The sequence below is a fragment of the Homo sapiens genome, chromosome 3 (genome assembly GCF_000001405.40).
Source record: "Homo sapiens chromosome 3, GRCh38.p14 Primary Assembly".
Lineage (NCBI taxonomy): Eukaryota > Metazoa > Chordata > Mammalia > Primates > Hominidae > Homo > Homo sapiens.
The window spans coordinates 196,142,080-196,166,271 of record NC_000003.12 but is presented as its reverse complement, the minus strand read 5'-3'; the positions used below and the strand labels follow the sequence as shown (position 1 = coordinate 196,166,271).

General features: G+C 48.7%; 1 long non-coding RNA gene across 1 annotated transcript, besides 3 other annotated features; it reads right to left on the bottom strand.

Moving 5' to 3' along the window:
• Positions 1 to 5,381: 5,381 nt before the first annotated feature.
• LINC00885 (long intergenic non-protein coding RNA 885) lies at positions 5,382 to 23,636 on the bottom strand. Its single transcript, NR_034088.1, has 3 exons — positions 23,272 to 23,636; positions 21,895 to 22,366; positions 5,382 to 6,372 (listed from the first exon to the last, which is right to left on the bottom strand). It is a non-coding gene; the product is annotated as a long intergenic non-protein coding RNA 885 (long non-coding RNA).
• Positions 5,766 to 5,815: a silencer, noted in NCBI's record as "silent region_15056". NCBI's record gives its function as "represses an Ori minimal core promoter by ATAC-STARR-seq in GM12878 lymphoblastoid cells {active_cell/tissue: GM12878}" and the evidence as "EXISTENCE:reporter gene assay evidence [ECO:0000049][PMID:35858748]".
• Positions 6,116 to 6,315: an enhancer, noted in NCBI's record as "active region_21069". NCBI's record gives its function as "activates an Ori minimal core promoter by ATAC-STARR-seq in GM12878 lymphoblastoid cells {active_cell/tissue: GM12878}" and the evidence as "EXISTENCE:reporter gene assay evidence [ECO:0000049][PMID:35858748]".
• Positions 6,336 to 6,405: an enhancer, noted in NCBI's record as "active region_21068". NCBI's record gives its function as "activates an Ori minimal core promoter by ATAC-STARR-seq in GM12878 lymphoblastoid cells {active_cell/tissue: GM12878}" and the evidence as "EXISTENCE:reporter gene assay evidence [ECO:0000049][PMID:35858748]".
• Positions 23,637 to 24,192: the final 556 nt, after the last annotated feature.

Sequence of the window (24,192 nt, the reverse complement as noted above, 5' to 3'; positions counted from 1 at the left end):
GGAAAAATGTTTGCTCCCCAGGGTCTCGTGTGGCATGACTGGCTTCCCGATATTCATGTCCCCTTCTTCCTTACTAATGAAACTGCTTTTGTTTGGGGCATAACAGAGTGGTCAGCCAGGGTGAGCCACGGATCATGGCAACTGCCCTGTGCTTCCCCGGCCTACCTTGCAACTGGGAGAAACCACGTGACCTGTTCTGGCCAAGGGACCTGTGTGGAAGGAGGGTGCCTAGGACAGACCGCCTTCTTCCTGCTTTGAAAAGACTCCTGATACGGAAACTGCTGCAGTCTTATTTCCATGGGGAAAGGCCAAGTGAACCCCACAGATGCCAGCCCTGCCCACTTCCAGATTTTTTATTCTGGGAGACAAAGAAACCACTATTTCTTTACACCTGCCAGTCAAGTTTTCTGTTGTTGGCAGCCACGTTTATTCCCAATGCTTAAGCAGAAAACACTTCCTCCCACCTTCACTCCTCTGGGGTGGAGGGGATGCCCTCAGGCCCTGGAATAACCCTCTGTACGGGGGGCTTCTCTCCTGCCCCTATTCCAGCCTTTTATCTGGGGTGCTCTTGGAGCCTAGAGGCCATCCTCGTCTTTCTCTGACCACCCAGTTTGCCCCATGTTTTCCTTATCCATCCTGACCTCAATTTCCCATTTCCTTTGGTTAATCCTCTCTTGAAAGATCACTTTCCAGCCACACAGAGTCAATGTCCATTCCCCACACCATATAGTACACAACCCCCCAGACACACACACGCACCACACAACACACATCACACAACAGACACACACCACACACACTGAGTCACTGTCCATTCCCCACATCATATAGCACACAACCCCCCAGACACACACACACACCACACCACACAACACACAACAGGCACACACACCACACGCACAGAGTCAACGTCCATTCCCCACATCATATAGCACACAACCCCCCAGACACACACACACACCACACACCACACAACACACAACAGATACACACACAACACACAACAGACAACACCACACACTGAGTCAATGTCCCCACATCATATAGCACACAACCCCCCAGACACACACACACAACACACAACAGACAACACCACACACTGAGTCAATGTCCATTCCCCACATCATATAGCACACAACCCCCCAGACACACACACGCACCACACACCACACAACACGCAACAGATACACACACCACAACACACAACAGACAACACCACACACTGAGTCAATGTCCATTCCCCACATCATATAGCACACAACCCCCCAGACACACACACACACACACACACACCAAACAACAGACACACACCACAACCACCCCATACACATATCATGCAACAGACACACCACACAACAAACACACGTACACCACACACACCCCACACACCACCCCATATACACACACTACACAACAGACACACCACACACCACACAACGGACATACATCATACACACACCACACAACAGACACACACATCACACACCACCCCATACATACACACTACACAACAGACACATCACACACAGACACACACACACCACACACCATACAACACCAATACAAACACCACACAACAGACACATCACACACACACAACACACACCACAACAGACACACAGAACACATACAATACACACACAACACAACACAGGTGTACACACACATATCATAAAGACACACAACACCCACACAACACACACATCACACCCCCGCCCCCCATCATACGCCTCTCTCCTGACCCCTTTCTCTTGTATTTTTGTCCTCTGCATGTGTGGAGAGTCACAGATCCAAAACCCAGTGTCCTGGTTATGCTTCTGCCGAATTCCATTTGGTCTTGCCAGATGGAGCGTTCTTAATCTACATCCGATTTTAGAGACAGGAGAGGTTGCCGCGGGGGCCAGTGCCTGGGGAGCCTGCCCTGTCTTTCTCCGCAGCCGTGCCCAGCCGGCCTGCCAGGCGGGGTCTGGGAAGACAGCCTCACCAGGATTCTCAGTGCTAGTGTCTGACCTTGAAGGCCAGAGCTCCCGGGCCCCTGCGGGCTATTTTGGGACACCTCCCCAGGCCCTAGCCCCACAGAGCAGGTGCAGGGCTGGCCAGAGGAGCTGATGCCAGAGGGATTCAGTGCTCTGTCCTCCCCAGGCTACCTCCTGATGTAATGCTGGAGGCCTGGACCCATGGGGAAGTCCTCGACCCTTGCCCAGTTCAGGAGAGGCAGGGCCTCAACCCTTCCCCAGTTTATGGGGCCTGCAGCTTTGCCAGTGAAAGAGGAAAGCTGGAAAGAGACCCAGGGCTGTGGGTCCCGCAGGAGGTGGGGAGCGGCCCCTCCGTTGTGGGAAAGCAACTGCCGCAGGCCGGGCTGACCTCATGGGTTATGCAACCCAGGCCGGCCCGGGGGCTGCAGGGAGCAGCTCCCATTGTGTAGGCCTGCCTGGGGATCAGCAGCTCAGGCTCCTAAACCACAACCCACGTGGCTCCCGATGCCTCCTGACCCGTTTAGCAGAAGGTGGACAGCTTTCCCGCTCACCCTCCTCCTGCCCTGGGCGTGGCAGGGAAATGGAGTAATTAAAGCCTTTTGGGGATTATCAAGAAACTGCTAGATCACAAGTTCCCTCCTTGGGCACTCATGGCAAAGGGGAGATCAACCTGTAGTCTGCTGAGGGTCAAGGACGGGTAGAAGGAAGAGGGTGCCCCACCTTTAAAGGCCCTAGCCCTCAGCCTTCAGCGTGACCCCTTCAGTATCAGCATGTTTTGGAAAGAGGCCTAGTTCTAGTGTCCAAAGTCCTGTAAAGGAAAATTTTAAAAATCAGGACCACTCACACTTCTCTTTTTCTTTGAGACAGGGTCTTGCTCTGTTGTCCAGGCTGAGTGCAGTGGCGCTCATTTCCACCTTCAGATGTTCACCTTATCTTATATAAAATGTAGTGTTCGCCTAAGCCTGACTGCCCGCCTGCCCCTCTTCCTAGGTGTCATCCCAGCACTTTGGGAGGCTGAGGTGGGTGGATCACTTGAGGTCAGGAGTTTGAGACCAGCCTGACCAAATGGAGAAACCCCGTCTCTACTAAGAATACAAAAATCAGTCGGGTGTGGTGGCTCATGCCTGTAATCCCAGCTACTCGGGAGGCTGAGGCAGGAGAATCGCTTGAACCCGGGAGGTGGAGGTTGCAGTGAGCTGAGATCGCGCCACTGCACTCCAGCCTGGGCAACAAGAGTGAAACTCCGTATCAAAAAGAAAAAAAAAAAGGAAGAAATGTACAAATACAAAACTTGGAACTTCTTGGGAAAAACAGCCACAGATGTGTCTGTGGCTTGTTTTTCCCAGAAGCGCCCTAACGTGGCTTAATAAACCTCAGTGATTAAGACTTGCCTCAGTCACTCATTTTGGTTGTCAGTCCTCAATTGAGACTGGCCGGGTGACCCTGGGCAAGCTGCCTCACCTTTCTTCGCTGAGGAATCGCCTGGTGAGCCGCCGAGGAGCCTTACAGGAGGATTTCTGCAGTGGTAGGAGCTTTTCTCACCCACCTCCCGACAGCAGGGACTCTCCTCTCTCATTCCCTCTGTAGGTCCTGGAAACACTCCCTCTCAGGGCCTCTCGCACATCAGATCAAGCATATTAAAACACACCTGTGGCCCACATCAAGTATTTTTTGCTGTAATTTTTTTTTTTTTTGAGACAGAGTCTCGCTCCATTGCCCAGGCTGGAGTGCAATGGCATGATCTTGGCTCACTGCAGCCTCCGCCTCCTGGGTCCAAGTGATTCTCCTGCCTCAGCCTCCCAAGTAACTGGAACTACAGGCTGATGCCAACATGCCTGGCTAATTCTGGTATTTTTAGTAGAAACGTGGTTTCACCATGTTGGTCAGGCTGGTCTCGAACCCATGACCTCAGGTGATCTGCCCACTTTGGCCTCCCAAAGTGCTGGGATTACAGACATGAGTCACCACTCTTGGCTGCTGTAAACTTTTTGAAAGGGCTTTGAGAAAGCTGCTTTATAAATTATTTGACAAATAAATAACTTATTGAATTTTTTTTTCCTTGAGGCAGAATCTTGCTCTGTTGTCCCGGCTGGAGAGCAGTGATGCCATTCTTGGCTCATTCAACCTCTGCCTCCCGGGTTCAAATGATTCTCCAGCCTCAGCGTCCCAAGTAGCTGGGACTACAGGCTCGCACTACCATGCCCACCTAATTTTTGTATTTTTAGTAGAGACAGGGTTTCATCATGTTAGCCAGGATGCTCTCGAACTCCTGACCTCATGTGATCTGCCCACCTCGGCTTCCCAAAGTGCTGGGATTACAGGCATGAGCCACTGCGCCCAGCCAATAAATAATTTATTGAATGTCGATTGGTTATAATTTTTCTTTCCCTTTTTTTTTTTTTTTTTGAGACGAAGTCTTGCTCTGTCGCCCAGGCTGGACTGCAATGGTATGATCTTGGCTCACTGCAGCCTCCACCTCCCAGGTGCAACCAATTCTCCTGCCTGAGCCTCCTGAGTAGCTGGGATTACAGGTGCCCACTACCATGCCTGGCTAATTTTTGTATTTTTAGTAGAGACGGGGTTTCACCATGTTGGTCAGGCTGGTCTTGAACTCCTGACCTCAGGTGATCCAACTGCCTCGACCTCCCAAAGTGCTGGGACTACAGGCATAAGCCACTGTGCCTGGCCAATTTTTCTTTTTTAGAAGTTTATTTTAGGCCAGACGCAGTGGCTCACGCCTGTATTCCCAGCACTTTGGGAGGCCAAGGTGGGTGGATCACGAGGTCAGGAGATCGAGACCATCCTGACCAACATGGTGAAACCCCATCTCTACCAAAAATACAAAAATTACCTGGGCGTGGTGGCAGACGCCTGTAATCCCAGCTACTCCGGAGGCTGAGGCAGGAGAATCACTTGAACCTGGGAGGTGGAGGTTGCCGAGATCATGCCACTGCACTCCAGTCTGGACACAGAGCTAGACTCTGTCTCAGAAAAAAAAAAAAAAAAAAAAAAAAAAAAAAAATATATATATATATATATATATATATTTTAATTTAGTTTTTATTTGGAATGCAGTGGTGTGATCACGGCTCAGTGTAACTTCAACCTCCTGGGCTCAAGTGATCCTCCTGCTTCAGCCTCCTGAATAGCTGGGACCACAGGTGCCTGCCACCAGCTGCCTAACTTTTTTTTTTTTTTTTTTTTTTTTTTTTTGTAGAGATGGAGTCTTTGCTATGTTGCCCAGGCTGGTCTCAAACTCCTGGCCTCAAGTGATCTTCCCTCCTTGGTCTCCCAAATTATTGGAATTATAGGCGTGAGCCACTGCCCCCAGCCTGGTTATGATTTTTTAGTGATCATGGTGTCTATTGGAAATTCTTAGAAAGTAAGAAATGCTACAAAATGTTTCTAAATGTAGTGCCATTTTCTTGAATACTGAATGAATTCATTTACAAGCCAGTTAGTAAACCATTAGCAACTGAAGATTGTCCATGTTGGCAGTATTTACACGACGGAAATAGCAAACACTACAAATCAGTGAAGTGTACAAATCAGTGTGGTCATTCATAGCACCAACCCTGCCCCAGCTGATTTACTCCTGATCACTGGGAAATTATTTGTTTTTTCTTTTAATCTCTGGGTGACTCAAATGTGTAGTCAGCAATCTGGAAGAAGTTCAGGATCTTGAGTCCACTGAGATAGGCCCCAACAGGGACTGTGGCTCAAGAGGAACCCGGACTGAATTCCATCTAGAAGGAGGACTCACTCCGGGAAAGAGGGAGTGCTCCTTAGGGAGGTGCTCCCTGCCTCCAGCCCAGGCCTTGCTCTTGGTGAGTGGTCATTTAGAGCAGGGGTTTCATGTCTTCATGTCTTTGTATTTGCACAGTAGTCAATTTATTTACTGCTGCCACTTTATTCAGTAACCTTTAGCCTATTAATTGTGTTTATTTTATTTCCCTTTTCGTCTTTCAGTGTTACTAGGCCCTGCTGGCAAACAGAATTGAGGGGGGCCTGCCCAGCAGGGAGGAAGGAGGGGCCACAGCGAGGAGTGTCTGGGACTCAGCTGAGCCTTTCTTGCCTCTGAGGCAGGTGGCCTGGGGAAGTCCTTGATCTTGAACCAGCCGGTTACAGTCTGCGGGTGGCCCCACCTTCAAAGTAAGAAATCCCCATGATTCCACTGGGGCGGCTTCAGCCAGAGGAAGCTGATGAGCCCAAGAGCTTCCTGAAAGCTGCCCAGGGCTCCTGAACAAAGGCTCCAGCTCTGAGAGGCCGTGTGAAACCGGCAAGAGCATGGAGTTACTCACGGGGCAATGGAGCATGGCACGTTCAGCGTGGAGTCCAGCGAACTGAAGGACAAATTAGATGTGCGTGTTTCAATGGAGGGGACTCTCAAAACAAGCTGTGGAGTAAAACAATGAAGGTTACCAAACCACGCACAGCACACACTGCCATTTGTGGGAACGCACTCACGTACAAACACTGAACCAGTGAAACGCCGTCTCTACTCAAAATACAAAAAATTAGCTGGGTGTGGTGGCCCGCACCTGTAATCCCAGCTACTTGGGAGGCTGAGGCAGAAGAATTGCTAGAACCTGGGAGGCGGAGGTGGCAGTGAGCCAAGATCATGCCATTGCAGTCCAGCCTGGGTGACGAGCGCGAAACTCCGTCTCAGACAACAACAACGACAACAAAACTAGTGACTGGAGAGGGTTTCGAAAGAACAAGCTGACCTGATGGACAAAGATATACATCAAAGATATATATATATATATACACCATATATAAACACTATTTAGAGTCTTTTTTTTTTTTTTTTGAGATGGAGTCTTACTCTGTTGCCCAGGCTGGAGTGCAGTGGTGTCATCTTGGCTCACTGCAACCTCCACCTCCCAGATTCAAGCGATTCTCCTGCCTCAGCCTCCCAAGTAGCTGGGGATTACAGGTGTGCGGCACCATACGCAGCTAATTTTTTGTATTTTTAGTAGAGATGGGGCTTCACCGTGTTGGCCAGGCTGGTCTCTAACTCCTGACCTCCACCCGCCTCGGCTTCCTAAAGTGCTCAGATTACAGGCATGAGCCACTGTGCCTGGCCACAATTTAGAGTCTTTATAAAGACAGGCTCCAAATAAAATTCGAGGTCTCTCCCCAGGGACATAGAAAAGAGAGTGGTCATGGCTGGACATCATGGTTCATGCCTGTAATCCCAGCACTTTGGGAGGCCAAGGCAGGCGGATCATGAGGTCAGGAGTTCGAGACCAACCTGGCCAATATGGTGAAACCCTGTCTCTACTAAAAATACAAAAATTAGCCAGACGTGGTGGCGTGTGCCTGTAGTCCCGGCTACTGGGGAGGCTGAGGCAGGAGAATAGCTTGAATCCGGGAGGCAGAGGTTGTAGTGAGCCAAGATCGTGCCACTGCACTCCAGCCTGGGCAATAGAGCAAGACTCTGTCTCAGAAAAAAAAAAGAGGCACCTTGAGTTTCCTAAGGGTAGGCCATGTCAGGTGAACAGCCCCTTTTATTCACAGGAGAAGGGAAGGGAAGAAGCAAACATCTGTAACAGGTTTCTCACTCCAGGCTCCATGCTGGGTGACCTGAGCGCTCACAGCAGCCTAAGGGTTAGTCAGGTGTCTCGTTTTACAGATGCCGAAACTGAAGGGCTGCAGTGAGTGTTGTGAGAAACTCCTCTCAGAGTTGTGTGGTGTGTGAAACATTATGGGACTTAATTACTTAAATGTGTTTGGAAATTCAACACCACAGATTAAGAATGTAGACATTATGTCATCAAACCTGGTTTTTAATCACAGCTCCTCTGCCTATTAGCTCAAGGACTTTAAACATATTATTTAATGTCTCTAAGCCTCAGTTTTCATATTTTTAAACTAGTGCTGATTATAATACACCTCTTAGGTTGTTGTGAGGATTGAATAAAATAAAATGAGCAAAGTGAAAAAAAAAAAAAGAAATTTGCTTCAGGGGGCAGTTGAAAATCTGGGTTCAGGCCGGGTGCCATGTCTCACGCCTGTAATCCCAGCACTTTGGGAGGTTGAGGTGGGCAGATCACCTGAGGTCAGGAGTTCGAGACCAGCCTGGCCAACAAAGCAATGTCCTGTCTCTACAAAAAGTAGAAAAATTAGCCAGGCGTGGTGGCACACACCTGTAATCCCAGCTACTTGGGAAGCTGAGGCAGGAGAATCCCTTGAATCCAGGAGGCGGAGTTGCAGTGAGCTGAGACTGTGCCACTGCACTCCAGCCTGGGCAACAGAGCGAGACTCTGTCTCAGTAATAATAATTAATAATAATAAATAGAGAGTTACAGGGATCATGGCGGACGGGAGGCAGGACTAGATTGCAGCTGTGACTCAGATGGACAGAGCAGCTGTGGAGACTCACATAGTGAATTTTTGCTCTGGAATGACTGCAGGAATAAAGCAGGAAAGCTGAGAGCACCCACAGACCCCATGAAGGAAGCAGATCGCTCCTGCAGGACCCATGAGACACCCCAAATACTGTGCTGGTATCCATGGCTGAGAGACTCACACAGACAGTTCACATCACAGGACTCAGTGCAGACAACCCCAGTACCAGCCTGGAGCCTGGTAGACGTGCTGGGTGGCTAAATCCAGAAGAGAGATAACAATCGCTATAGCTTGTCCTCAGGAAGCCACATCCATAGGAAAAGGGGGAGAGTGCTACATCAAGGGAACACCCCGTGGGACAAAAGAATCTGAACAGCAGCCTTGAGCCCTAGACCTTCCCTCTGACAGAGACTACCAAAATGAGAAGGAACCAGAAAACCAACTCAAAACAAGGTTCTTTAACACCTCCAAAAAATCACACTAGCTCACCAGCAATGGACCCAAACCAAGAAAAAAATCCCTGGTTTACCTGAAAAAGAATTCAGGAGGTGAGTTATTAAGCTAACTAGGGAGGCACCAGAGAAAGGCGAACCCCAATGTAAGGAAAAAAATGATACAAGAAGTGAAGGGAGAAATATTCCAGGAAATAGGCAGCATAAATGAAAAACAATCAAAACTTCAGGAAACATTGGACACACCTAATAGAAATGCAAAATGCTCTGGAAAGTCTCAGCAATAGACTCAAACAAGCAGAAGAAAGAAATTCAGAGCTTAAAGACAAGGTCTTTGAATTAACCCAATCCAACAGAGACAAAGAAAAAAGAACAAGAAAATATGAACAAAGGCTCCAAGGATTCTGGGATTATGCTAAACACCCAAACCTAAGAATAATTGGTGTTCCCGAGGAAGAAGAGAAATCTAACAGTTTGGAAAACATATTTGAGGAAATAATCGAGGAAAACGTGCCCGGCCTTGCTAGAGACCTAGACATCCAAATACAAGAAGCTCAAGGAACATCTGGGAAATTCATCGCAAAAAGATCATCGCCTAGGCACATAGTCATCAGGTTATCTAAAGTCAAGACGAAGGAAATAATCCTAAGAGCTGTGAGGCAAAAGCACCAGGTAACCTATAAAGGAAAACCTATCAGATTAACAGCAGATTTCTCAGCAGAAACCCTGCAAGCTAGAAGGGATTCAGGTCCTATCTTCAGCCTCCTCAAACAAAACAATTATCAGCCAAGAATTTTGTATCCAGTGAAACTAAGCTTCATATATGAAGGAAAGATACAGTCTTTTCCAGACAAATGCTGAGAGAATTTGCCACTACCCAGCCAGCACTACAAGAACTGCTAAAAGGAGCTCTAAACCTTGAAACAAATCGTGGAAACACATCAAAACAGAACCTCTTTAAAGCATAAATCTCACAGGACGTATGAAACAAAAACACAATTTAAAAAATAAAAACAAAAAACCGAGCCATATAGACAACAAATAGCACGATGAATGGAATGCTACCTCACATCTCAATACTAACATTGAATGCCAATGGCCTAAATGCTGCATTTAAAAGACACAGAGTTGCACAATGGGTCAGAATTCGCCAGCCAACTATCTGCTGCCTTCAGGATGCTCGTCTAACACATAAGGACCCGCACAAGCTTAAGGTAAAGGGCTGGAAAAAGACATTTCAGGCAAATGGACACCAAAAGTGAGCAGGGGTAGCTATTCTTTCATCAGACAAAACAAACTTTAAAGCAACAGCACTTAAAAAAGACAAAGAGGGACAGTATATAATGGTGAAAGGCCTTGTCCAACAGGAAAATACCACAATCCTAAACATATATGCACCTAACACTGGAGCTCCCAAATTTGTAAAGCAATGACTAATAGACCTAAGAAATGAGATAGACAGCAACACAGTAATAGTGGGGAACTTCAATACTCCACTGACAGCACTAGACAGGTCATCAAGACAGAAAGTCAACAAAGAAACAATGGATTAAAACTATACCCTGAAACAAACGGACTTAACATATATGCAGAACATTCTACCCAACAACCGCAGAATACACATTCTATTCAACAGTACATGGAACTTTCTCCAAGATAGACTATATGATAGGCCACAAAACGAGCCTCAATAAATATAAGAAAATTGAAATTCTATCAAGCACTCTCTCATGGCCACAGTGGAATAAAACTGGAAATCAACTCCAAAAGGAACCTTCAAAACCACGCAAATACATGGAAATTAAATAACCTGCTCCTGGATGATCATTGGGTCAAAAATTAATTCAAGATGGAAATTAAAAAATTCTTCAAACTGAACAACAATAGTGACACAACCTGTCAAAACTTCTGGGACACAGCAAAGGCAGTGCTAAGAGGAAAGTTCGTGGCTCTAAACACCTACGTCAAAAAGTCTGAGGCCGGGCGCAGTGGCTCCCGCCTGTAATCCCAGCACTTTGGAAGGCCGAGGGGGGCGGATCACGAGGTCAGGAGATCGAGACCATCCCGGCTAACACGGTGAAACCCCATCTCTACTAAAAATACAAAAAATTAGCCAGGCGCGGTGGCGGGCATCTGTAGTCCCAGCTACTCGGGAGGCTGAGGCAGGAGAATGGCGTGAACCCGGGAGGCGGAGCTTGCAGTGAGCTGAGATCGCGCCACTGCACTCCAGCCTGGGCGACAGAGCCAGACTCTGTCTAAAAAAAAAAAAATGTCTGAAAGAGCACAAGCAATCTAAGGTCACACCTCAAGGAACTACAGAAACAAGAACAAACCAAACCCAAACCCAGCAGAAGAAAGGAAATAACCAAGATCAGAGCAGAACTAAATGAAATTGAAACAAACAAACAAAAAATTACAAAAGATAAATGAAACCAAAAGCTGTTTCTTTGAAAAGATAAATAAAATTGATAGACCATTAGCAAGATTAACCAAGAAAAGAAGAGGGCCGGGCGCAGCGGCTCACGCCTGTAATCCCAGCACTTTGGGAGGCTGAGGCAGGTGGGTCGCCTGAGGTCAGGAGTTTGAGACCAGCCTGGCCAACATGGCCAAACCCCAGCTCTACTCAAAATACAAAAATTAGCTGAGCGTGGTGGTGGGCGCCTGTAATCCCAGCTACTTGGGAAGCTGAGGTGGGAGAATCGCTTGAACCCAGGAAGCAGAGGTTGCAGTGAGCTGAGATCGTGCCATTGCACTCCAGCCTGGGCAACAATAGTGAGATTCTATCTCAAAAAAATAATAATAATAAAGAAAGAAAGAAAGGAAGAAAGAAAAAGAAAAGAAAAAGAAAAACAGAGAGGAGAGAAAATCCAAATAATCTCACTAAGAAACGGAACAGGAGATACTACAACTGATACCACAGAAATGCCAAAGATGATTCAAGGCTACTGTGAACACCTTTGCATGCATAAACTAGAAAACCAAGAAGAGATGGGTAAATTCCTGGAAAAATACAATCCTCCTAGCTTAAATCAGGAAGAATTAGATACCCCAAACAGAACAACAGCAAGCAGCAAGATTGAAATGGTAATTTAAAAATTACCAACAAAAAAAAGTCCAGGACCAGATGGATTCACAGCAGAATTCTATCCAACATTCAAAGAAGAATTGGTACCAATCCTACTGAAACTATTCCACAAGATAGAGAAAGACGGAACGCTCCCTAAATCATTCTCTAAAACCAGCATCACCCTAATACCAAAGCCAGGAAAACCAAAAAGAAAACTGACCTAAAAAGAAAACTACAGACCAATATCCCTGATGAACATAGATGCTAAAATCCTTCACAAAATGTTAGCCAACCGAATCCAACAACATATCAAAAAGATAATCCACCATGATCAAGTGGGTTTCATACCAGGGATGCAGGGACGGTTTAACATATGTAAGTCAATAAATGTGATACACCACATAAACAGAATTAAAAACAAAAATCACACGATCATCTCAATAGATGCAGAAAAAGCATTTGACAAAATCCAGCATCCCTTTATGATTAAAACTCTCAGTAAAATCGGCATAGAAGGGACACATCTCAATATAATAAAAGCCATCTAGGCTGGGTGTGGTGGCTCACACCTGTAATCCCAGCACTTTGGGAAGCCGAGGCAGGCGGATCACCTGAGGTCAGGAGTTCGAGACCATCCCGGCCAATATGGCGAAACCCCGTCTCAACTAAAAATACAAAAATTAGCTGGGTGTGGTGGCATGCACCTGTAATCCCAGCTACATGGAAGGCTGAGGCAGGAGAATTGCTTGAACCTGGGAGGCAGAGGTTACAATAAGCCAAGATTGCACCACTGCACTCCAGCCTGGGTGACAGAGCGAGACTCTCTCTCAAAAACAAAAACAAAAAACAAACAAAAAATAACAACAGCAAAAAAGAATGACACAATGGACTTTGGGGACTTGGGGGAAGAGTGTGGGGGGAGGGAGGGATAAAAGACTACAAATAGGGTTCAGTGTATATTGCTCGGGTGATGGGTGCACCCAAATCTCACAAATCACCACAAAAGAACTTACTCATGTGAGCAAATACCACCTGTACCCCAATAACCTATGGGGAAAAAAGAGAAGAATATACAAAAAATTTAAAAACTGGGCCGAGCGCAGTGGCTCACGCCTATAATCCCAGCACTTTGGGAGGCTGAGGAGGGCAGATTACCTGCGGTTGGGAGTTTGAGACCAGCCTGACCAACATGGAGAAACCCCGTCTCTACTAAAAATACAAAATTAGCCGGGTGTGGTGGCGCCTGCCTGTAATCCCAGCTACTCAGGAGGCTGAAGCAGGAGAATCGTTTGAACCCGGGAGGCGGAGGTTGCGGTGAGCCGAGATGTGCCATTGCACTCCAGCCTGGCAACAAAAGCGAAACTCCGTCTCAAAAAAAAAAAAATTAAAAAACAATTTTTAAAAAGAAAATCTGGGTTCATAGTTGGTGGGCCAGTGGCACACGCCCGTAGTCCCAGCTACTTGAGAGGCTGAGGCAGGAGGATCACTTGAGCCCAGGAGTTTGAGACTACAATAAGCTATGATGGTGCCACTGCACTGTAGCCTGGGTAACAAAGCAAGACCCCGTCCCTCAAAAAAAAAACAAAAGAAAAGATCTGATTCAAATCTAGCTTTATCTGACTCCCAAGCAGCTAACAGCGGCAACAATTGGCAACGACCACTGCTACTCACGGCTGCCTGGGCTAAGCACTTTACAAATGTGATGTCATTTAATCCTCATAAAGGTGATAGGTTTTTTGCTTTTTGGTTTTCTTTAGACGGATCTCAGCTCACTGCAACCTCCACCTCCTGGGTTTAAGCAATTCTCCTGCCTTAGCCTCCCAAGTAGCTGAGACTATAGGTTCCCACCACTACGCCCAGCTAATTTTTGTATTTTTGTAGAGACAGAGTTTCACTATGTTGGCCAGGCTGGTCTTGAACTCCTGGCCTTGTGATCTGCCTGCCTCAGCCTCCCAAAGTGTTGGGATTACAGGCGTGAGCCACCGCGCCCAGCTGGATAGGTTTTATTATTTACATTTTACAGCTGAAGAAAATGAGTTGCAAGGGAGGCTGAGTAAGCCCAAAGTCACTGAGGTCTGTCTCACGCCATTCTCTTCAGCAAGTCACTCCATGGCCTGCATCCTCCACAACCAGGAGTCTCCAGCCTCCTCCCCCAGGGCAGATTTTGTCTGAATCTCAAAGAGTTGGAAAGGGAGAGGGCAGCCACACAGAGTTCCCGCTGACAACCACCACTCTAGACTGGGTTAGTGGATCAGGTTGACTGGTGTTGGGGGCCAGGGGTACATGGAATCCTATGGCCATCTGGATGTCAGCAAGTGCAGGGCACAGTGGCTCACACCTGTAATCCCAGCCAAAGGAGGAGGATCACTTGAGACAAGGAGTTCAAGACCAGTCTGGGCAACAGAGACCCCATCTCTACAAAAAATAAAAAAATTAGCTGAATATGGTGGCCTGGACCTGTAGTCCCAGCTACTTGGGAGGCTGAGGTGGGAGGATCACTTGAACTCAGGAGGTCGAGGCTGCAGCAAGTTTTCTGATGGAGATGCTCTTCAGAGCCTGGAGGTCAAGGAGACAGAAAGACGGAAACTGATCCTACTTGTGTTGTGGGTTGAATTGTGCTCTCCAAAAAGTTATGTTCAAGTTCTAACCCTTAGTCCCTGGGCATGTGACCTTGTTTGGAAATAGGGGTCTTTGCAGATGTAATCAAATAAGATAAACTCATAATGGATTAGGGTGGGCCCTATATTCAATGACTTGTAAGAGGAGGGACCCCTATGTGGAGATAGAGGTAGGGATGGAAGGATGAGCTACGGCCCACAGAATATCAAGGATACACAACAACCCTGAAAAGCTAGAAGGAGGCTAGGAAGGACTCTTCCCTAGAGCCTCAGAAGGAGCATGGCCCTGCTGACTTAGGACTTCTGATGGCAGAACTGTGAGAGAATGAATTTCTGTTGTTTTAAGCCATCTAGTTTGTGATTACGTGTTATGGCAAAACTGGAAAACGAATAGAGTTTGGTTGTTCCATAGGGATTTGGCTTCACATCCAGAATATGCTAATTATTGTCCACATGTCACGTGGGCTTGGGTGGTGGGACAGAGTTTTATCCTTTTCTTTTCTTTTTTTTTTTTTTTGTGACAGAGTCTTGATCTGTCGCCCAGGCTGGAGCGCAGTGGCGCGATCTCGGCTCACTGTAACCTCCACCTCCTGGGTTCAAGCCATTCTCCTGCCTCAGACTCATGAGTAGCTGGGACTACCGGTGCATGCCAGCACACCCGGCTAATTTTTGTATTTTTAGTAGAGATGGGGGGTGGGTTCCACCACGTTGGCCAGCCTGGTTTCAAACTCCCGACCTCAAATGATCTGCCCGCCTTGGACTCCCAAAAGTGCTGGGGTTACAGGCATGAGCCACCACGCCTGGTTGTGAGTTTTAACCTTGACCCTGATTTATTTTATTATCCTCTTGGATGAAAATTAAGAATGTCTCCATTCAAATGGGTAGATTGTGCAAAACCCGGAGAGATGGTTAGTACTGAAGACAGGATCTATATTCAAAAACACCTCAAAGAACAGCAAAAATGCACTAAGACCTACAATGTGAAATGAACACGGACAAAGTTCTTGATGTAGGTTCAAGAGCCAGTTGCACCAATGGAGAATGAGGAATCCCTGGCTTGATGACAGCTCACATAAAAAAAGATATTGGCTGCAAGCTGAGTAAGAGTCAACAATGCATTCAGTCGTTTGAAAAGCCAGTGCATCTGTAAGTGGCTTTGCTGCCAAGCAGAATTGAGCTGAGCATGCCACTGGCCTCTGGGCTGATCGGGGCACACCTGAAGCTTCATTCAGCCCTGGGTGCTGAATTTTAGTGCCACATTTGACATTACTCAGCATCCAGGAAAGACAGCCAGAAAAGTGAGAGGTCTGGAAACTGTCATGAAAGACAATCAGGAGAATTAGTGTTGTTTTGAGGCAGAAATTTAAAGAAACATAAGTACTGCATTTATTTACTTTAAGGATAGTAACAGGCAAGGCTATAAAAAGGTCGCGGTGACCTAGTCTGAGAAGCAAAAGCTGCAAGAATAGGCTCCAGACACCCCCGAGCATGGTTGAAAAACAAAAAATCCCCAAAACCAAATTCCTTGACTGTCTCTCCTTCTCTGAACTAATAATTCTGACTATGTTTGCCAATGCTTGTACTTAGTCAGATTTGTAAGTTCCTGTTTTCTTTTGCCTCAGCTGCAAGGTTACCCGCTATGCAAGGGCACAGGTTGTGCCAAGTCACTAGTTATGCTGTAGATGACAGAAGCTGTCACTGTGTGATTGACAGCCTTTGCGCTGGCCTATATAAGCTAAACCCTGACTTTGTTCAATGCTCAGCTTTTTGGATACGAATCCTCTGAGCTGGTGCACCTTAAATAAACATCCTCCTGTTTCCCGTATTGGTCTCTCCAGTCCTCTGTTCCTCGCAACAGTTTCCCCTGAAGATGAGAAGACGTGGGAAGAGGGGACTTCTGTAAACATTGACCTGCTTTTGTGAAGCACAGGGAGTGGGTGTGCTAGGAGAATGGTTCCTAACTAGCGGCTTCTGTGCTGATGAAGGCAAACAGCAGTCTCAGTCTTTTTTTTTTTTTTTTTTTTTGAGACAGAGTCTTACTCTGTTGCCCAGGCTAGAGTGCAGTGGCGCACTCTCAGCTAACTGCAACCTTCACTCCCTGGGTTCAAACAAGCACATCTGTCTAATTTGTGTATTTTTAGTATAGATGGGGTTTCGCCATGTTGGCCAGGCTGGTCTTGAACTCCTGACCTCAAGTGATTCGCCTGCCTCCGCCCCCCGAAGTGCTGGGATTACAGGTGTGAGTCATCGTGCCTGGCCTAGTCTCAGTCTTCAGACACAGGGGAGACCTGTTGGTTTTGCAGCGTCTTCTCTCTTTCTAATAAAAGCATCCATATTTTTCTTTGTGAGACCACTCTGCCCCCACTTTGTCCGTGGTTCCAGCGGTCGGCTTAGGACTGGGATTTAGCCAATCCAAGTGCTCTATTCCCTTGGTCACGGCAATCTGTTCAAGGGTGGGTATGTGACCCAAGCCAGATCAATGAGTGTCTGTATTAGTCTGTTCTCACACTGGTGTAAAAAGATACCTGAGACTGGCTGAGTGCGGTGGCTCACGCCTGTAATCCCAGCACTTTGGGAGGCTGAGGCAGGCGGATCACCTGAGGTCAGGAGTTCGAGACCATCCTGGCCAACATGGTGAGACCCTGTCTCTATTAAAAATACAGAATTAGCCAGGCGTGGTGGTGTGTGACTGTGGTCCCAGCTACTTGGGAGGCCGAGGCAGGAGAATCGCTTGAATCCAGGAGGCGGAGGTTGCAGTGAGCTGAGATCACATCACTGCACTCCAGCCTGGGAGACAGAGTGAGACTCCGTCTAAAAACAAAAAACAAAAAACAAAACAAAAAAAACCCTGAGACGGTGTAATTTATAAAGAAAAGAAGAAATCATTTTAATTGGCCAGATGTGGTGGCTCACGCCTGTAATCCCAACACTTTGGGAGGCTGGGGCAGGCAGATCACCTGAGGTTGGGAGTTCGAGACCAGCCTGACCAACATGGTGAAACCTCGTCTGTACTCTACTAAAAATTCAAAAATTAGCCAGGCGTGTTGGTGCATGCCTGTAATCCCAACCATTGCACTATTGCACTCCAGCCTGGGCAACAAGAGCTCCGTTGTTTTTTTGAAACTCCGTTTCAAAAAAAAAAAAAAGAAGAAGTTTAATTGGCTCACAGTTCTGCAGGCTGCATAGGAAGCATGACGCTGGCCTCTTCCCGGCTTTTGGGGAGGCCTCAGGAAACTTCCAATCATGGCAGAAGGCGAAGCGGGAGCAGGCACTTCACACGGCAGGAGCAGAAGCAAGAGAGAGAGCGAGGGGGTGGGGCCACACACTTTCAAACGGCCAGATCTCTCGAGAACTCACTATGGAGAACAGCACCGAGAGGATGGTGCCAAACCATTCATGAGAAATCCACCCCATGATCCAACCACCTCCCACCAGGCCCCACCTCCAACACTGAGGATTAGGACTCAACTGGAGATTTGGGTGGGGACCCAGAGCCAAACCATGTCAGTGTCTATCTGAGGCATTTGGTTGCAACTACCAAGTAGAGACACTCTTTTTCTGTTGGGAGCACTAAGCCAGCAGTATAGAATCCTGCAACCGCTGGAGGCCAGTGTGCTAAGGTCTGAGAGGAGCCTGTTTGAGAGCAAAGTCAACACAGTGAATGGAGCCAAGAAATGGAGACAGCAAGATCTCTGTTGGCACGCTGTGAACGCCTGGATCCAGCCATGCCTGAATTTGATCTGTGAACCTCTTGGACATGACACAATATGATCCCCACTGATTCTTTCCCCATCTGAGTTCAGGCTTTGTTGTTTGCAATCACATCCACCTGTAAGTATAGCAAAAGCTGTTTGATGAAAACGTCATTCCATAGGAATTCTAATGGTTCACGCTTTTGGAGCACCTTCCATATGTAGACATTGTGGTAGATTTTTTTTTTTTTTTGAGACAGAGTCTCGCTCTGTCACCCAGGCTGGAGTGCAGTGGTGCGATCTCGGCTCACTTCAACCTCCACCTCCTGGGTTCGAGCAATTCCTCTGCCTCAGCCTCCCGAGTAGCTGGGATTACAGGTGCACACCACCGTGCCTGGCTAATTTTTCTATCTTTAGTAGAGACGGGGTTTCTCCATGTTGGTCAGGCTGGTCTCAAACTCCTGACCTCAGGTGATCTGCCCGCCTCAGCCTCCCGAAGTGTTGGGATTACAGGCGTGAGCCACTGTGCCCAGCCGTGGTAGATTTGTATTTTAATTTGTAATAGAGTTATACTTGAACATAGTTTTATGAGTTTACTTGGTGTGAAAACCCCCATCCTTTGCAACTCAGACTCCTTTTTCTACTCCTTACAGGTGCTGGAACTCAGAAACCAATACCCCAGAATATGGTGCTTTGACATATGGGACCGAAGAAGCCTTGAGGTCTCTCTGACCTTTCCCCAAAGAAGTTGAAGTTTTTTAATTGGTCAAGTTCCAGACCCACAAGGAGCAATTATTTGTAAAGCCAGGAATGTAACCAAACTTGAACAGAACTTTCCACAAAATAGTATGTAAACTGATCTCTGTTCCTAGATCCATTTACTTTCCCTAGTAATCCTTTATCCCCCTCTTTTCCTGCCTCCCATAAACTGTGCTGCCAGGATGCTGTATGAGCTTCTGAACCCCACTGGGGCGCAGGCACCCTGACTCTCCCTATGTGCATGTAAATTAGTTTTATGCCTTTTTTCTGTTAATTAGTTGGCCTCATGTCAATGATTTTCAACCACTGTCAATTTTTTCAGATGATTCTTTTTTTTTTTTTTCAGACAGGTCTCTCTCTGTCGCCCAGGCTGGAGTGCAGTGGTGTGATCTTAGCTCACTGCAGCCTCGACCTCCAGGGGCTCAGGTATCCTCCTACCTCAGCCTTCTGAGTAGCTGGGACCGCGGGCATGCACCACCACACCTGGCTAATTTTTAAAATTATTTGTAGAGACGGGGTCTTCCTATGTTGCCCAGGCTGGTCTCGAACTCCTGGACTCCAGTGGTCAGCCGGCCTCAACCTCCCGAAGTGCTGGGATTACAGGTGTGAGCCACTGTGCCCAGCCTGAGATAAATCTATTGAGTTTTCACTGTGAACAATGAGGATGTAGCTCATTTTTGTTCTCCCTGTCCCCACCACACAGAAACTCTCTGCCCTTCTCTTCCTCCTGATTGAGTTACGTTGTGATTTTGTTTAGATCCACATTCACTGCTTGTTTTTTGTTTTTTTTTTTTGAGACGGAGTCTGGCTCTGTCGCCCAGGCTGGAGTGCGGTGGTGTGATCTCGGCTCACTGCCAGCTCCGCCTCCCGGGTTCATGCCATTCTCCTGCCTCAGCCCCCTGAGTAGCTGGGACTACAGGGGCACGCCACAGCGCCCGGGTAATTTTTGTATTATTAGTAGATGAGGGGCTTCACCGTGTTGTTCAGGCTGGTGCCCTTGGTCATCCACAGGTGTGGGCCAAGCTAAGTTTGGGAGAAATGTAGTTTATAGTTTAAATGATAATAGCCCTTTCCAAAACTAAATTGCCTTTGTAAAACTAATGAAAGGCCACCGGGTTAGGGGGATGACAGGGGCATGAATTCCACGAAGATGTGGGTGCCGTGAGATGATTCCCAGCCACTATTCCAAAGGCCACTGGGTTAAGAGGAGGAAAGGGGCATGAATTCCGCGAATATGTGGGTGCTGTGAGATGATTCCCATGAGAAGTCACAAGATTTGCAACTTCCCCAATGACTCCTGTAAATAACATCACTACTGTAAGACCTAAGATTGGCCTTTTGAGATCTCTTTTCAGGGTTTCAGGTTACTGATGACCGGAAGGCCCCACCCAAACCAGCAGCTCCTCTGTGGCCACTACCCAGAGGCTGCCTCAGAGCACAAGGGCCAATTTCCACACCCCCGTGATTGCCCCCCCAGCTGATCAGCAGCACACGTCCCATAGCTCCCTGCCCACCAAACTCTCCTTAAGAGACCTTCGCCTCTGAATTTTGGGGCAGGCTGATTTGAGTAATAATAAAACTCTGGTCTCCCATTTCGCTGGCTCTACGTGTATTAAACTCTTTCTCTATTGCAATTCCCCTGTTGTAATAAATCAGCTCTAACTGGGCATTGGGCAAGAAGAGCACATGGGCAGTTACAGATTCTCCTGGTTTGAAGTGAATCAATCAGAGCCAGGCGTGGTGGTGTGCGCCTGTCAGTCAGAGCCAGGCGTGGTGGTGTGTGCCTGTCAATCAGAGCCAGCTGTGGTGGTGTGTGCCTGTCAATCAGAGCCAGGCGTGGTGGTGTGCGCCTGTCAGTCAGAGCCAGGCGTGGTGGTGTGCGCCTGTCAGTCAGAGCCAGGCGTGGTGGTGTGCGCCTGTCAGTCAGAGCCAGGCGTGGTGGTGTGCGCCTGTCAGTCAGAGCCAGGCGTGGTGGTGTGTGCCTGTCAATCAGAGCCAGCTGTGGTGGTGTGTGCCTGTCAATCAGAGCCAGGCGTGGTGGTGTGCGCCTGTCAATCAGAGCCAGGTGTGGTGGTGTGTGCCTGTCAATCAGAGCCAGGTGTGGTGGTGTGTGCCTGTCAATCAGAGCCAGGTGTGGTGGTGTGCGTCTGTCAATCAGAGCCAGGCGTGGTGGTGTGCGCCTGGATTCCTGGCTACTAGGGAGGCTAAGGTGGGCAATCACTTGAGCCCGGGAGTTTGAGGCTGCAGTGAGCTATGATTATGCCACTGTGCTCCAGCCTGGGCAATAGAATGAAAAATAAATTTAAAACTGTCTCTGAAAAATAAATTAAAAAGTGAGTCAATTAGCCCAGCCCACATTCAAGGGGACGGTTTTACACAGGAAATACCAAGAGGCAGGGATCACTGAGCGTCATCTTAGAGGCTGCCTCCCACAGCAGGCGAATGAAGTATTAGAACACCCTCGGTAGCGAGTGCTGAGAGGGCCAGACACGGTGGCTCATGCCTGTCGTCCCAGCACTTTGGGAGGCCGAGGCAGGAGGATCACCTGAGGCTAGGAGTTCACAACCAGCCTGGGTAACATAGTGAGATCCTGTCTCCCCGTCGAAATTTTTTTGATTAAAAAAAAAAAAAGCGCTGAGAGAGGAAATCCCAGGCTGTTGCAGGCATATGAGAGAAAAACACCAGCCTCTGCCCGAGGACGCATGAGAGAAAAACACCAGCCTCTGCCCGAGGACGCATGAGAGAAAAACACCAGCCTCTGCCCGAGGAGACCAATGAGGGTTTCCCAGAGGAAGCAGCTCTGGGTTGAGACTTAACAGATGAGAAGATATCCCAGGGGGCCAGGGGGTATAAGAGCATCCCAGGGAAAGGGAAAGCAAAAGACGGAAGTGTGGGTTCAGGGGGCAGCAGCACGGGCAGAGCCTGGGGCAGAGGGTGACAGGAAGGTGGGGGAGAGCTAGCTCCGGGAGGACTCACCTGCTGTCCTCAGGTGTTGGTGCTTTATCTTGGAGGCACTGGGAAGCCGTGGCCAGGGTTAAGGGGGTGAGATGCCAGGACTGTGCTTTAGTGCTCTCTGCAGTTACTGGCTGGGTAGAGGAGACCGAGGAGCAGAGGTGGGAGGCCGGAGACCAGGGAGGAGGCTGTGGCAGGCATCCAGGTCAATGCTGGGGGGCTGGTCTGGGCAGGAGCAGAGGGAGAGGGAAAGAGGAGATAATTGGGAGGTCGATGTGAACAATGGGGCTTCTACAGTGCCGGCCCAGAGGGATGAAGTAGTTCGTGGGGTAGGCGAAGGGAGGCAGGGAGAGGGAGGGCCAACTGTGTGAATGGAGGGAGCGGCCCAGGGCAGCTCAGCGAGGCCCGTTGGCTGCACAGGCAGGTGGTGAGCGGGCGGGGTCTTGCTCCTTGCGGGGTGCGAAAGTTGGCAGGGTTGGGTGGTAACCTTGGGAACCTGAGAAGAAAGGTCAGGGTGGAGATGTCAGCCGCCATTTTGGCCCCAGGAGGTCCATCCCTATGCCCGGTTGATTGCTCTGCTTTGTGAACACAACCATGGCTCAGCCGCAGACCCAGGATTAGAACTCTACAAAAAGGGCTTCTTGGCTTGTTGTGGTGGCTCAGGCCTGTAATCCCAACACTTTGGGAGGCCAAGGCGGGTGGATCACCTGAGGTCAAGAGTTTGAGACCAGCCTATCCAACATGGTGAAACCCCGTCTCTACTAAAAATACAACAATTAGCCGGGTGTGGTGGCGGGTGTCTGTAATCCCAGCTACTCCGGAGGCTGATGCAAGAGAATTTCTTGAACCTGGGAGGTGGGGGTTGCAGTGAGCCGATATCACGCCACAGCACTCCAGCCTGGGTGACAGAGCAAGACTCCGTCTCAAAAAAAAAAAAAAAAAAAAAAAAAAAAAAAAAAAAGAGGCTTCTTGAACACTCCCCTCGAACCTACCCCGGCGGCCTCCAGAGCTCCGCCCATCCTCGCCCTTCAAAGTTAGTGGAAGCCCTCAAGGCCTTGAACTAACTGCTCGCTGCTGACCTGCCGGCCTCGTTGCCCTCCTTCTCTCTGTGGCTGTGGGCAAGTGACTCACTTCTTAGTCTTCTCTCTTGGAAAACCGGCGGCTGGACCAGCTGCTCCCCGTGGTCCCTGCCAGCGCTGGCTCGCCGGGATTCCATCTCCCCACCCTCTCTGGGTTCTCCACGCTCTGGGCTGTCATTGCAGCGTGGATCGTAATGCACGTAATGCAGTGTGACATGCATTCCAGCACCCTGATGGCCATGGGCTCTCCCTCGGCTCAGGCCCGCCCTGGGGAGCTGCGGAGGCTGTGTTGAGCTCAGCTCCTCATCTTAATTCTGCAAACCTGTTTTGAGGTCTGGTCTGGTTCCCAGCTGAGCACTCAGGTACTGTGGGTGGGGTCTCTTGGCCTGGGGTCTGCCCGGCGCACCATGAATCATCAGCCAGACAGGGTCTTTCAGAAGCGGGACTGTCCATCCCTGTTCTCCAGGCATGATCATGTCTGTTCATCAGAGATCATCTTTACGGAGGTAGAGAAGAGCTTCCGTCTCCGGGGTCACGTGTTGTACTTTGCACATCCTCCGTGGTGAGGTTCTTTTCTAGATCTAGCCCAAATCTTCAAGAAGGCTTAAAACAAAGCTGCATTTTAAGGGCTTCTGGGTGGAGGAATCAGATTAGATCCATTCTGCTCAGCTTTCTCTCACCAGAAGTGGGGGCTCCGCCCTCTGAGTGGGAAGGGACCCATTCCTTTCACTTCCCCGCTCCCTGGCTAGGTCAGCCCACACCTGGCTTGGGCCAGAGCTGCAGTTGCTGTTGGCACCCAAATGGTCTGAGGCTGTTAGGTAACAGGTCTTGGCCAGACATTCTGGTTCCGCAGGTACAGCCTACAAGTTAAAAATTGTTCTAAAAATGCAGGGCAAGCTGTCTAAACACACACAGGCCTGGGGAGGGGGGAGGTTGTGGGACAGAGGCCATAGTCAGTGGAGGGATGTGTTTTCCACAGGGACTCTGGGCTCAGAGCCCTGACTCCAAACCAAGCATCAAACTCAGGGAAGAGTGGCCCAGACCTGCTGCAGGGACGAGGGGCCCAGACCCGCTGCAGGGACGAGGGGCCCAGACCCGCTGCAGGGACGAGGGGCCCAGACCTGCTGCAGGGACGAGGGGCCCAGACCCGCTGCCCAGAGATAGGATTTGCAGCCCAACCCCCTCTTAGCTTCCCTCATTTCCCTCCCTTCCCTCCCTCCCTCTCTCTCTCTCTTTTCTTTCC